The sequence below is a fragment of the Homo sapiens genome, chromosome 4 (genome assembly GCF_000001405.40).
Source record: "Homo sapiens chromosome 4, GRCh38.p14 Primary Assembly".
Classification (NCBI taxonomy): Eukaryota; Metazoa; Chordata; class Mammalia; order Primates; family Hominidae; genus Homo; species Homo sapiens.
Window position 1 is genome coordinate 165,955,127 of NC_000004.12, and position 13,347 is coordinate 165,968,473.

Here is a 13,347-nt window from a genome sequence, read left to right on the forward strand (position 1 = left end):
AGAGGTGGAATCAGTAACAACAGAATAGAGCAAGCTGAGAAAAGAATCTTGGAGCTTGCAGACCAGTCCTTCAAATCAACCCAATCAGACCAAAAAATTAAAATAAAAATAAAAAGAAAGAAAAAAGAAATTATAAAATGAACAAAATCTCCAAGAAATATAAGATATAAAGAGCCCAAATGTGTGACTTATTGGCATTCCTGAGAGATAAGAGAGAGTAAGCAATTTGGAAAATGGTATTTGACAATATGGTCCATGAAAATTTCCCTAGTCTCACTAGAGAGGGCAACATGAAAATTCAGTAAATTCAGAAAACTCCTGGGAGATATTGCATAAAATGATTCATTTAAAGACACATAGTCATCAGATTCTCCAAGGTCAATGAGAAAGAAAAAATTATTAAAGGAAGCTAGAGAAAAGGGGCAGGCCATTTACAAAGGGAAACCCATAAGGCTAACAGCAGACTTAGCAGAAAGGCTACAAGCTAGAAGAGACTGGGGACCTATATTCAGCATCTTTATTGAAAGAAATTTCAACCAAGAGTTTCATATGCTGCCAAACTAAGTTTCATAAGTGAAGGAAAAATAAAATCTTTTCCAGAAAAGCAATGCTATGGGAAGTTGATACCATTAGACCAGCCTTACAAGAGGTCTTTAAAGGAGTTCTAAACATGGAAATGAAAGAACACTACCTGATTATCAGGGTAACCTGCCCCCAATATTTCAATGTAGGTTCTTTCTATTTTCCATAAGTGTTGGCCAGCTGAGAAATAAAGAGAAAGGGTACCAAGAGAGGAATTTTACAGCTGGGCCACTGGGGGTGACATCACATATCAGTAGGACCGTGATGCCCACCTGAGCCTCAAACCAGCAAGCTTTTTATTAAGGGTTTCTAAAGGGGAGGGGGTGTAAAACAGGGAGTAGATACAAAGATCACATGCTTCAAAGGGCAAAAAGCAGAACAAAGATCACATGCTTCTGAGGGAACAGGACAAATGGCAAAAGCAGAACTACTGACAAGGATCCAACAAAGATCACAAGGCAAAGGGCAAAAGCAGAACTACTGATAAGGGTCTCTGTTCAGTGGTGCACGTATTGTCTTGATAAACATCTTAAACAATAGAAAACAGGGTTCGAGAGCAGAGAACCGATCTGACCACAAATTTACCAGGGTGGAGTTTTTCCCCACTCTAATAAGCCTGAGGGTACTGGAGGAGACCAGGGTGTATCTCAGTCCTTATCTCAACCACGTAAGACAGACATTCCCAGAGCGGCCGTTTATAGACCTCCCCCCAGGAATGCATTCCTTTCCCAAGGTATTAATGTTAATATTCCTTGCTAGGAAAAGAATTTAGCAATATCTCTCCTACTTGCACGTCCATTTATAGGCTCTCTGCAAGAAGAAAAGTGACTTTTTTTGCCTGACCTCACAGGCAGTCAGACCTTATGGTTGTCTTCCCTTGTTCCCTAAAAATCACTGTTATTCTCTTCTTTTTCAAGGTGCACTGATTTCATATTGTTCAAACACACGTTTTACAATCAATTTGTACAGTTAACACAATTATCACAGTGGTCCTGAGGTGATGTACATCCTCAGCTTACAAAGATATCAGGGTTAAGAGATTAAAGTAAAGATAGGCATAAGAAATTATAAAAGTATAATTTGGGAACTGATAAATGTCCATGAAATCTTCACAATTTATGTTCCTCTGCTGTGGCTCCAGCCGGTCCCTCTGTTTGGGGTCCCTGACTTCCCGCAATACCTGATACCACAAAAACACACTAAAGTACATAGCCCACAGACCCTATAAAGCAGCTTCACAATTGCATCTACAAAACAACCAGCTAACCACAGACAGGATCAAAACCTCAAATATCAGTATTAACCTTAAATGTAAACAATCTAAACACCCCACTTAAAAGGCACGGAGTGGCAAGTTAGACAAAAAAATAAGACCCAACCAATTGCTGTCTTCAAGAGACCCATCTCAGATGTGATGATACCCACAGGCTCAAAGTAAAGAGAAGGAGAAAGATCTATCAAGCAAATGGAAATTAAAAAGAGCAGGGGTTGTTGTTCTTACATTAGACAAAATGACTTTAAACCAACAATAGTCAGTAAGGACAAAGAAGGGCATTACATAGTGGTAAAGGATTCAATTCACAAGAAGACTTTACTATCCTAAATATATAGGCGTCCAATGTTACAGCACCCAGACTTATAAAACAAGCACTTCTAGACCTATGAAAAAATGTAGCCACACAATAATAGTGGGGGAACTTCAGCACTCCACTAACAGCTTTAGACAGATCATTGAGGCAGAATATCAACAAAGAAATTCTGGATTTTTTTTTTTACCTTTTTAAATGTAATTTATTTATTTACTTTTATTTTTCCATAAGTTATTGGGGTACAGGTGATATTTGGTTACATGAGTAAGTTGTTTAGTAGAGATTGATGAGATTTTGGTGCACCCATCACCCGAGCTGTATACACTGCACCATATTTGTAGACTTTTATCGCTCGTCCCCATCCTACTCTTCCACCCAAGTACCCTAAGTCCATTGGATCATTCTTTTTTTTTTTTTTTAAATTATTATTATACTTTAAGTTTTAGGGTACATGTGCACAATGTGCCAGTTAGTTACATACGTATACATGTGCCATGCTGGTGTGCCGCACCCATTAATTCGTCATTTAGCATTAGGTATATCTCCTAATGCTATCCCTCCCCCCTCCCCCCACCCCACAACAGTCCCCAGAGTGATGTTCCCCTTCCTGTGTCCATGTGTTCTCATTGTTCAATTCCCATCTATGAGTGAGAACATGCGGTGTTTGGTTTTTTGTCCTTGTGATAGTTTACTGAGAACGATGATTTCCAATTTCATCCATGTCCCTACAAAGGACATGAGCTCATCATTTTTTATGGCTGCATAGTATTCCATGGTGTATATGTGCCACATTTTCTTAATCCAGTCTATCATTGTTGGACATTTGGGTTGGTTCCAAGTCTTTGCTATTGTGAATAGTGCCACAATAAACATACGTGTGCATGTGTCTTTATAGCAGCATGATTTATAGTCCTTTGGGTATATACCCAGTAATGGGATGGCTGGGTCAAATGGTATTCCTAGTTCTAGATCCCTGAGGAATCGCCACACTGACTTCCACAATGGTTGAACTAGTTTACAGTCCCACCAACAGTGTAAAAGTGTTCCTATTTCTCCACATCCTCTCCAGCACCTGTTGTTTCCTGACTTTTTAATGATTGCCATTCTAACTGGTGTGAGATGGTATCTCATTGTGGTTTTGATTTGCATTTCTCTGATGGCCAGTGATGATGAGCATTTTTTCATGTGTCTTTTGGCTGCATAAATGTCTTCTTTTGAGAAGTGTCTGTTCATATCCTTTGCCCACTTTTTGATGGGGTTGTTTGTTTTTTTCTTTTAAATTTGTTTGAGTTCATTGTAGATTCTGGATATTAGCCCTTTGTCAGATGAGTAGGTTGCAAAAATTTTCTCCCATTTTGTAGGTTGCCTGTTCACTCTGATGGTAGTTTCTTTTGCTGTGCAGAAGCTCTTTAGTTTAATTAGATCCCATTTGTCAATTTTGTCTTTTGTTGCCATTGCTTTTGGTGTTTTAGACACGAAGTCCTTGCCCATGCCTATGTCCTGAATGGTAATGCCTAGGTTTTCTTCTAGGGTTTTTATGGTTTTAGGTCTAACGTTTAAGTCTTTAATCCATCTTGAATTAATTTTTGTATAAGGTGTAAGGAAGGGATCCAGTTTCAGCTTTCTACATATGGCTAGCCAGTTTTCCCAGCACCATTTATTAAATAGGGAATCCTTTCCCCGTTGCTTGTTTTTCTCAGATTTGTCAAAGATCAGATAGTTGTAGATATGCGGCGTTATTTCTGAGGGCTCTGTTCTGTTCCATTGATCTATATCTCTGTTTTGGTACCAGTACCATGCTGTTTTGGTTACTGTAGCCTTGTAGTATAGTTTGAAGTCAGGTAGCATGATGCCTCCGGCTTTGTTCTTTTGGCTTAGGATTGACTTGGCGATGCGGGCTTTTTTTTGGTTCCATATGAACTTTAAAGTAGTTTTTTCCAATTCTGTGAAGAAAGTCATCGGTAGCTTGATGGGGATGGCATTGAATCTATAAATTACCTTGGGCAGTATGGCCATTTTCACGATGTTGATTCTTCCTACCCATGAGCATGGAATGTTCTTCCATTTATTTGTATCCTCTTTTATTTCATTGAGCAGTGGTTTGTAGTTCTCCTTGAAGAGGTCCTTCATGTCCTTTGTAAGTTGGATTCCTAAGTATTTTATTCTCTTTTAACTCAACACTTGGCCAGTTGCATCTAATAGACATCTATAGAATATTCCTCCCAACAACTAAAGAATATACATTCTTCTCATCTCCACATGGAACATACTTGAAGATCAACCACATGCTTGGCCATAAAACAAGTCTCAATAAATTTGAAAAAGTTGAAATAATATCTAGCATACTCTTGGACCACAGTGCAATAAAAATAGAAACAAATAACAGGAGTATCTTTCAAAACCACACTATTGCATGGAAATTAAACAACTTGCTCCTGAATGACTTGGATGAAACACACAATTAAGGCAGAAATAAAAAAGTTATTTGAAATTAGTGAAAACGGAGACACAACATACCTAAATCTTTGGGATGCAGCAAAAGCTGTGTTAATAGGAAAGCTTATAGTACTAAACACCTACCTCAAGAAATTAGAAATATCTCAAATTAATGATCAAATATCACACCAAAGGAACTAAAGAAACAAGAACAAACTAACCCGAAAGGTAACAGAAGAAAATAAATGACTATATTCGAGCAGAGCTGAATGAAATAAAGACCCAAAAATCCATACAGAAGTTCAGCAAAATCAAGTTGGTTGTTTGAAAGAATAAACAAGATTGGTAGATCACTAGTTAGATTAACAAATAGAAAGAAGATCCAAAATAGCCCAATTAGAAATGACAAAATGATATTACAGCAGATCCCACGGATAAACAAAAAATTCCTCAGAGACTATTATGAAACTCCTATGTTCACAAACTAGAAAATGTAGTGGAAACACACAACCTCCCAAGATTAAACCAGAAAGAAATTGAAACCCTGAACAGACCAATAATGAATTGTGAAACTGAATCAATAGCAAAAAAACTGTAAACAAGCAAACAAAAACCCTAGAATAGATGTATTTACAGCCAAATTCTACCAGATGTACAAATAACTGGTACCAGTTCTACTGAAACTATTCCAAAAGTGAAGGAGGAGGGACTCCTCCCTAACTCATTCTAGGAAGCCAGCATTATCCTGATACCAAAATCTGGCAGAGACACAACGAAAAAAGAAGACTTCAAGCCAATATTCCTGATGAACATAGATGCAAAAATTCTCAACAAAATACTAGCAAAACAAATCCAGCAACATATCAAAAAGTTAATTCACCACAATCAAATAGGTTTTATTCCTGGGATGCAAGGTTGTTTCGACATTTTCAAATCAATAAATGTAATTCACCACATAAACACAATTTAAGAATATATATGATCATCTCAATAGATGCAGAAAAAGCTTTTGATATAATCCCGCCTCCCTTCAGGATAAAAACCCTCAACAAACTAGGCATCGAAGAAACATGTCTCAGAATAATAAGAGTCAACTCTGACAAACCCAGAGCCAACATCATACTGAACAGGCCATACTGAACAGGAATACTGGAAGCCATTCCCTTGAGAACTGGAACAAGACAAGCATGCCTACTCTCACCATTCCTACTTGAACATGGTACTGGAGGTTCTACCCGGAATAATCAGGCAAGAGAAAGAAATAACAGGCATCTAAGTAGGAAATGAAGTGAAGTTATGTCTCTTCACTGGCAATATGATTCAATACCTAGAAGACCCTAAAGATCCCACCAAATGGCTCCTAGAACTGATAAACAACTTCAGTAAAGTTCCAGGATACAAAATCACCATAAAAAAATCAGTAGCATTTTTACACGCTAACAATGTTCAAGCTGAGAACTAAGTCAAGAACACGGTCCCATTTACATTAGCCACAGAAAGAATAAAATATCTAGAAATACACCTTACAAAGGAGGTGAAAGATCTATACAAGGAGAACTACAAAACACAGTTGAAAGAAATCAGACATGTCACAAACGAATGGAAAAACCTTCTGTGCTCATGATTGGAAGAATCAATATTCTTAAAATGGCCATACTGCCCAAAGTAATTTACAGATTCAGCATGATTCCTGTCAAACTGCCAATGTCATTTTTCACTGAATTAGAAAAAACTATTCTAAAATTCATATGGAACCCCAAAAGAGCCTAAATAGTTAAAGTAATCCTATCCAAAAAGAACAGAGCCAGAGGCATCACATTACCTGACTTTGAACTATACTGCAAGGCTACAGTAACCAAAATAGCATGGTACTGGTACAAAAACAGACACAAAGACCAGTGGAATAGAGCAGAGAACCCAGAAACAAAGCTGCATACCTACAACCATCTGATCTTCAACAAACTTGGCAAAAATAAGCAGAGGGGAAAGGACACCTTATTAAATAAGTGGTGTGTGGATAACTGGCTAGCCATATGCAGAAGAATGAAACTTGATCTCTACCTGTCACCATATACAGAAATTAACTCAAGATGGATTAAAGAATTAAGTGTAAACACAATTTAAAAATATATATGATCATCTCAGTAGATGCAGAAAAAGCTTTTGATATAATCCTGCCTCCCTTCAGGATAAAAACCCTCAAAAACTAGACATCGAAGAAACATGACCTCAAAATACAAAAATCCTGGAAGAAAAACTAAGAAATGTTCTTCTTGACATTGGCAAAAAATTTATGGCTATGTTCTAAAAAAAATTGCAATAGAAACAAAAATTAACAAGTGGGATCTAATCAAATTGAAGAGCTTCTGAACAAAAAGAGAAACTGTCAACAGAGTAAACAAGAAGCTTATGGAGTGGGAGAAAATATTTTCAAACTGTTTATCTAAAAAGGACCTAATATTCAGAATGCACAAGGAACTTAAATCCATAAACAAAAAATAAATAACTCCATTAATATGTGGGCAAAGGACATTAACAGACACTTCTCAAAAGAAGCCATACAAGTGGTGAACAAAAGTATGAAAAAATTCTCAACATCACTAATCATTAGAAATGGGAAATCAAAACTACAGTGAGACACCATCTTACACCACTCATAATGGCTTTTGTTAAAAAGTCAAATAATAACAGGTGTTGGCTGTGCTGGCAGAGAGAATGAAACCCTTACACACTGTTGGTGGGAATGTATTAGTTCAGCCACTGTGGAGAGCAGTTTGGAGATTTCTCGAAGAACTGAGAGTCAAATTACCATGTAACCCAGCACTCTTATTACTGGGTATATACCCAAAGGAAAATAAATTGATCTACCAGATATAAGCATCTGCATGATAATTGCAGCACTATTTACAGTAGCAAGGTAAGCCAGGTGCTCATCAATGGTGGACTGGATAAAGAAAACGTGGTACATATACACCATGGAATACAACCCAGTCATAAAGAAAAGAAAGAAATCATGTTCTTTGCAGCAACATGGATGCAGCTGGAGGCAATTATCCTAAGGGAACAAACACAGGAACAGAAAACCAAATACCAAATGCTCTCATTTGAGGTCAGGAGTTTGAGACCAGCCTGGCCAACATGCTGAAACCATGTCTCCCTAAAAGTACAAAAATTAGCTAGGCATGGTGGCACGTGCCTGTAATCCCAGCTACTAGGGAGACTGAGGCACAAGAAACACTTGAACCGAGGAGGCGGAGGTTATAGTGAGCTGAGGTCGTGCCATTGCACTCCAGTCTGGGTGACAGAGCGAGGCTCTGTCTCAAAAAAAAAAAAAAAAAAAAAAAAAAGTGGTAGCTAAACATTAGGTACTCATGAATGTAAAGATGGGAACAATAGATCAATAGATAAATACTGGGGAATACAAGAGGGAGAGGGAAGGAGACAGGCAAGACAGGCAAGGAATAGAAAACTATCTATTGGGTACTATGCCAAATGCCCGGGAGTTCTGTCATACTTTAAACCTCAGAATCATTCAATATACTTTTATAACAAACCTGCACATGTACCCCCATCCCCCAGCCAGAATCTAAAATAAAAGTTGAACAAAAAAAGAAAAGAACTGTTGAGTTGGAGAATCTAGGTTTTTAAGATTCCATATTCTTGAACAAAGGCTGAAATGAGCAAATATTTGGATTATAGTTTCTTTTCATGATGGCATTTTCAGTACTTTATGCTTTTCATATATCATTTTTTTCTCTCTTTATCAGGTAAGTGGGGGAGATTATATTCTCCTTACAGCTCAGATATGTTGAACTTAAATGTTGTAATTTTAAGATTTTTTAATTGAGAATTGAAGAATAATAAATTAACAAGAAAAGGTAATCCAGGGGAAGGAAAGAAATACACAGAATTTTTGGAAGACTGAAAGGACCATAATTGTCTATAATTTATCATAAATTATAAGGAGTACAAGTGATGCTCAACAGATAACACACTCTGTCTTCGCCTGGTAGGATAGAAGAGAACATGTTTCCACAGTGACAGTGCTCAGGTTTACAGATTGGGAGCAGCTGTGCTTGGCTCAGTATGGACCTGATGAAGTGAAAATGTGTGGTTGGGGAGAAGTGGAAGAATGGAAGACATGGAGATATCAGTTCAGCTGCACGTTATTAAAAATTTCAGCAATTACTGAAATAACATGTGTTAAACCATATCTTTATGAGAGGTGTGTTTCAGTATCTCCTACTGCAAATCTCCCATCTGCCATGCTGTATACTAGAATCTCAAAATTTTAGGCTACATTTGGCAGAGTCTCATTAAAATTTTACTACCTAATGGGGAGATACATCTTAGCATATACATTAAAATGAATTAAGTGCTTCAAAAGAAAGATACTAGGAAAGTCATCATGGTTAAATACTTGGGCTCTGGAATCAGACTGTCTGGGTTTGAATCTGTTCTGTGATTTACTGGCTGAATTTCTGAGTTTCAATATCTTCATCAGTTTTTCAAAATCAGGGGAAAATAACTGAATGATTTAATAGGCTGTTGTGTAAAATTATTTTCACCATACTAACTTTGGTGCTAGTTACACATAGTAAGTTAGTTATGAGGATAATTATGCATAAAATGTTATGAGAGCAACATTGTAATGTACAAGCTATAAAGTATCAACACTTAATGCCTCTAGGTATGTTTGTCTGTGACTGCATGTGTTTGGGCATGATGGACCTAAGAGCTTTGACTTTAAATTCATCATGCAGATCTGGGTTCCTCCAGCCTTGATGTTTGAGATGTAACTCTGGATAGTTATTAAATCTCTCTTATATTTAGTCTCACATGTTGCAATTCCTACCTCCGAGGGTTGTTGTATGAGTATTCAAGATACTTTCCAAAAGTACAGTCAAGGCTAGGTGTGACAACTCATACCTATAATCCCAGCATGTTTAGTGGCTGAGGTGCGAGGCTAGCTTGAGGACAGGAGCCGGGAGGACAGGAGCCTGGGAAGCAATAAGAGACCTTGTCTCTACAGAAACAAAAATCACCAACAACAATTAGCTGGGCATGGTGGTGCATGACAGTAGTCCTAGCTATTCAGGCGGCTGTGGTGGGAGGATTGCTTAAGCCCAGGTGTTAGAGGTTAGAGTGAGCCATGATCACACCACTGCACTCCAGACTGAGTGACAGAGTAAGACCGTGTCTCAAAAATAAATAAATAAGTAAATAAATAAATAAATGCAATAAAAATAAATAGATCCATCTATCTTAATTACCCATGTATAATTTTAAGCATTTATATATTTTTATTTTTAATATATGAAATTATGTTGATTGATGTTATCTGGTTATGTTCAAATCATTTAGATTTCAAAAACTGCATTTTTAGTCTGTCCTTGACTTTGTTTCTATGTTAAATTAGAATAATTAAATTCTAAATATAGGTATATCATGTTGGGATAGTATTTAGACTCTGAAAAGACATAATATGTTTCTTTGTAGATAAGTTTAGATAATTTTTGATGAGGTTATATTTACTTTAAAAACCCTACATACAAAAATCTCTTTGCAAAAGATTTTATGTCAACACCCCTTTACTCTAAAGTCAGATTTAGAGCTATTTCAACCCTATGGAGCACAGCTTTGAATTTTGCAATAAATGTAGGACTCCAATATCCAACACAAATCTGTGTCACAAAACCCTGTGTTAAATTGGGCACTTTATTTCTTGGATTTTCTATCAGAGTCTTATTGACTCTTTCTTAGCACAGTATTTTTAATAAGCTTACTTATCAGCTGCATTAACCCACAGCATATTGAGTCTGAGAACTAGAAAAGGACTGAGAAAAGGTTTTGGAGGTAAATAGCAATGGCTGGAGAGAAGTACCCTACATGATCAGAGGAGGAGATGGGCACCTTCATGTCAGCATAGATACGTATTCCTGCAGTTTCCAATAACGTTCACATTGCCTACAGTGAGTCACTGAGAAAGAATGTTAACCACTATTTACAAAGACAGGCACATGTATCTTCTATTCATACTTTACTATATTGCCATCTAAGAATTTGATGTGGAATGCTCACTTACCTGAAATTCTAGAGCACATCATAGTATTAAGAGTGGTAGCATGAAGGACATTGAGTTGAACTTAGAAAATACAAGGACTAGACCGGGTGCAGTGGCTCACACTTGTAATCCCAGCACTTTGGGAGGCTGAGGTGGGTGGATCACGAGGTCAGGAGTTCAAGACCAGCGTGGCCAAGATGGCAAAACCCTGTCTCTACTAAAAATACAAAAATTAGCTGGGTGTGGTGGTGGGCGCCTGTAATCCCAGCTACTTGGGAGGCTGAGGCAGAGAACTGCTTGAACCTGGGAGGTGGAGGTTGCAGTGAGCTCAGATTGTGCCACTGCACTCCAGCCTGGACAACAGAGCAAGACTCCATCTCAAAAAAAAAAAAAAAAAAAGAAGGATTAGAGGACAGGGAGCACTAGCAAACCACCTCAATAAAGACAAAAGGGTAGAACAAAGCCATGATCACTAGACGATTGGAAAGCTGACAAGACTGGAGCAAAGGATCAAACCAGACTTTGAGGTGTGGGGACCTCCTAACTTTGTGGCTTATGGAAGTCACCCAGCATTCCAGTTAAAATGCAGATTTATGGGTTCTGTCATCACACATATGTTCCAGTGGCAACAGGTTAGGCTCAGGAATCAACATTTTTTTGTAACTTTCCAATTAATTCTAATGTTCACACTCTGAGAAATCTTACCAGGGAAGATGTATCGGGGGAACCAGCCCCCGATATTTCAATGTAGGTTATTTTCTATTTTCCCTAAGTGTCGGCTGGTCTGAGAAATAAAGGGAAAGACTACAAAAGAGAGAAATTTTAAAGCTGGGTTTCTGGGGGAGACATCACATGTCGGCAGGTTCCGTGACGTCCCTTGAGCTGCAAAACCAGCAAGTTTTTATTATGGATTTCAAAAGGGGAGGGGTGTACAAATAGGGTATGGGTCACAGAGATCACATGCCTCCAGGGCAATAAAATATCACAAGGCAAATGGGGGCAGAGAGAGATCACAGGACCAGGGTGAAATTAGAATTGCTGATGAAGTTTTATGTCCCACTGGGCACGCATTATCATTGTTAAGATCTTATCAGGAGACAGGGCTTGAGAGAAGACAACTGGTCTGACTAAAATTTACTAGGCAGGAATTTCCTAGTCCTAACAGGCCTGGGGGCGCTACAGAAGACCAGGGCTTATTTCATCCCTTATCTGCAACCGTGTAAGACAGACATTCCCAGAGCAGCCAGTTTAGATACTTCCCCCTAGGAATGCATTCTTTTTCTCAGGGCTGTTCCTTGCTGAGAAAAAGAATTCAGCGATATTTCTCCTATTCGCTTTTGTAAGAAGAGAAATATGACTCTGTTCTGTCTGGCCCCTCGGGCAGTCAGGCCCAATGGTTATCTCCCTCGTTCCCTGAAAATCGCAGCCATCTTGTTCCTTTGGATGCCCAGATTTCATATTGTTCAAACACACATGCTCTACAAACAATTTGTGCAGATAACACAATCATCACAGGATCCTGAGGTGACATACATCCTCAGCTTATGAAGAGGATTAAGAGATTAAAGACAGGCCTAGGAAATTATAAGAGCATTGATTGGGGAAGTGACAAATGTCCATGAAATCTTCACAATTTATGTTCAGAGATTGCAATAAAGACAGGCATAAGAAATTATAAAAATATTAATTTGAGGAACTCACAATTTATGTTCTTCTGCCATGGCTTTGGCCGGTCACTCCGTTTGGGGTTCCTGACTGCCCACAACAAAGATGGAAATATTTGTTAGCCATTTTGCAAAAGAGTGATGTTAAAAGCATTCCAGGAAGATTAATCTGGTTGAGTGGCATGCCAGAGGCCAATATGAAAGCTACTAATTAGTTCAGCTCAGAGGTGGTGAGAGCATGATGGGACATGCTGACAGGAACATTAGAAGGGCAGAAAAGTTATAGGGGTGTGTAAAGGGCAGAGTCAGTGGAATTTGATGATTCACACTGAATATTGGATAGAGAAAAGGAGTAGAGCAATGCAAAGCTGATGTACTAAGATATAATTGGAAAGGAAAACAATTTTAAGGCAATAGATAGACTTTATATTGAGTGTATCCTTTATCTGGTCATGATTAGCCTATTTAAGGTTTATTTGGATGTTTACATAACAACAATACAATGCCTAGGTTTGAATTCCACTTTCTAACTTAGACAAGTGTCTTCACGGCACTGAACTTCAGTTATCTTTACAAGGGGCGAACCACCCTCACAGAGTTGTTAAGAAAAATAAGTGCACATACAGTGCGGCTTTTCATCCCTTCTCTAAGTTGTAAACATCAGAGAAAACTTTCTATGAGCGTTTTACCTGTCTTTGGTCTCCAAATTTTGTTCCCTGAACAAGAGTTTTGTGTTTACATGTCTTTTTCTTTTACAACATAGCATTTCTAAGCAAGAAGTAAATATCTAAATTTCAGAGGTTGTTTTGACTATTTTTGAAGAACTATTACATTAGTAGCCATCATATGATATACCTAAAGGACTGCCATTCTTGTAATAGTAAACAAACTGCTTGTTGTCCAAAGGATTTCAGAATACACTTTTTCTATTCCTATTGCCAATTCTGAATTCTTATCCCTGATTCCTAATTTATCAATTCTCTACATAGGAATACAGACTAAGCAATGATTG

General features: G+C 37.9%; 1 protein-coding gene across 2 annotated transcripts in view, besides 1 other annotated feature; it reads left to right on the plus strand.

Annotated features, from left to right (window-relative positions):
* TLL1 (tolloid like 1) overlaps positions 1-13,347 on the plus strand; it is a 231,221-nt gene that overhangs the window by 81,890 nt on the left and 135,984 nt on the right. The gene's annotated exons all lie outside the window — the stretch shown is intronic.
* Positions 11,738-12,937: an enhancer, noted in NCBI's record as "MED14-independent group 3 enhancer chr4:166888016-166889215 (GRCh37/hg19 assembly coordinates)". NCBI's record gives its function as "activates an origin of replication core promoter dependent on BRD2, BRD4, P300/CBP and CDK7 cofactors, and independent of MED14, by STARR-seq in HCT116 cells {active_cell/tissue: HCT116}" and the evidence as "EXISTENCE:reporter gene assay evidence [ECO:0000049][PMID:35650434]".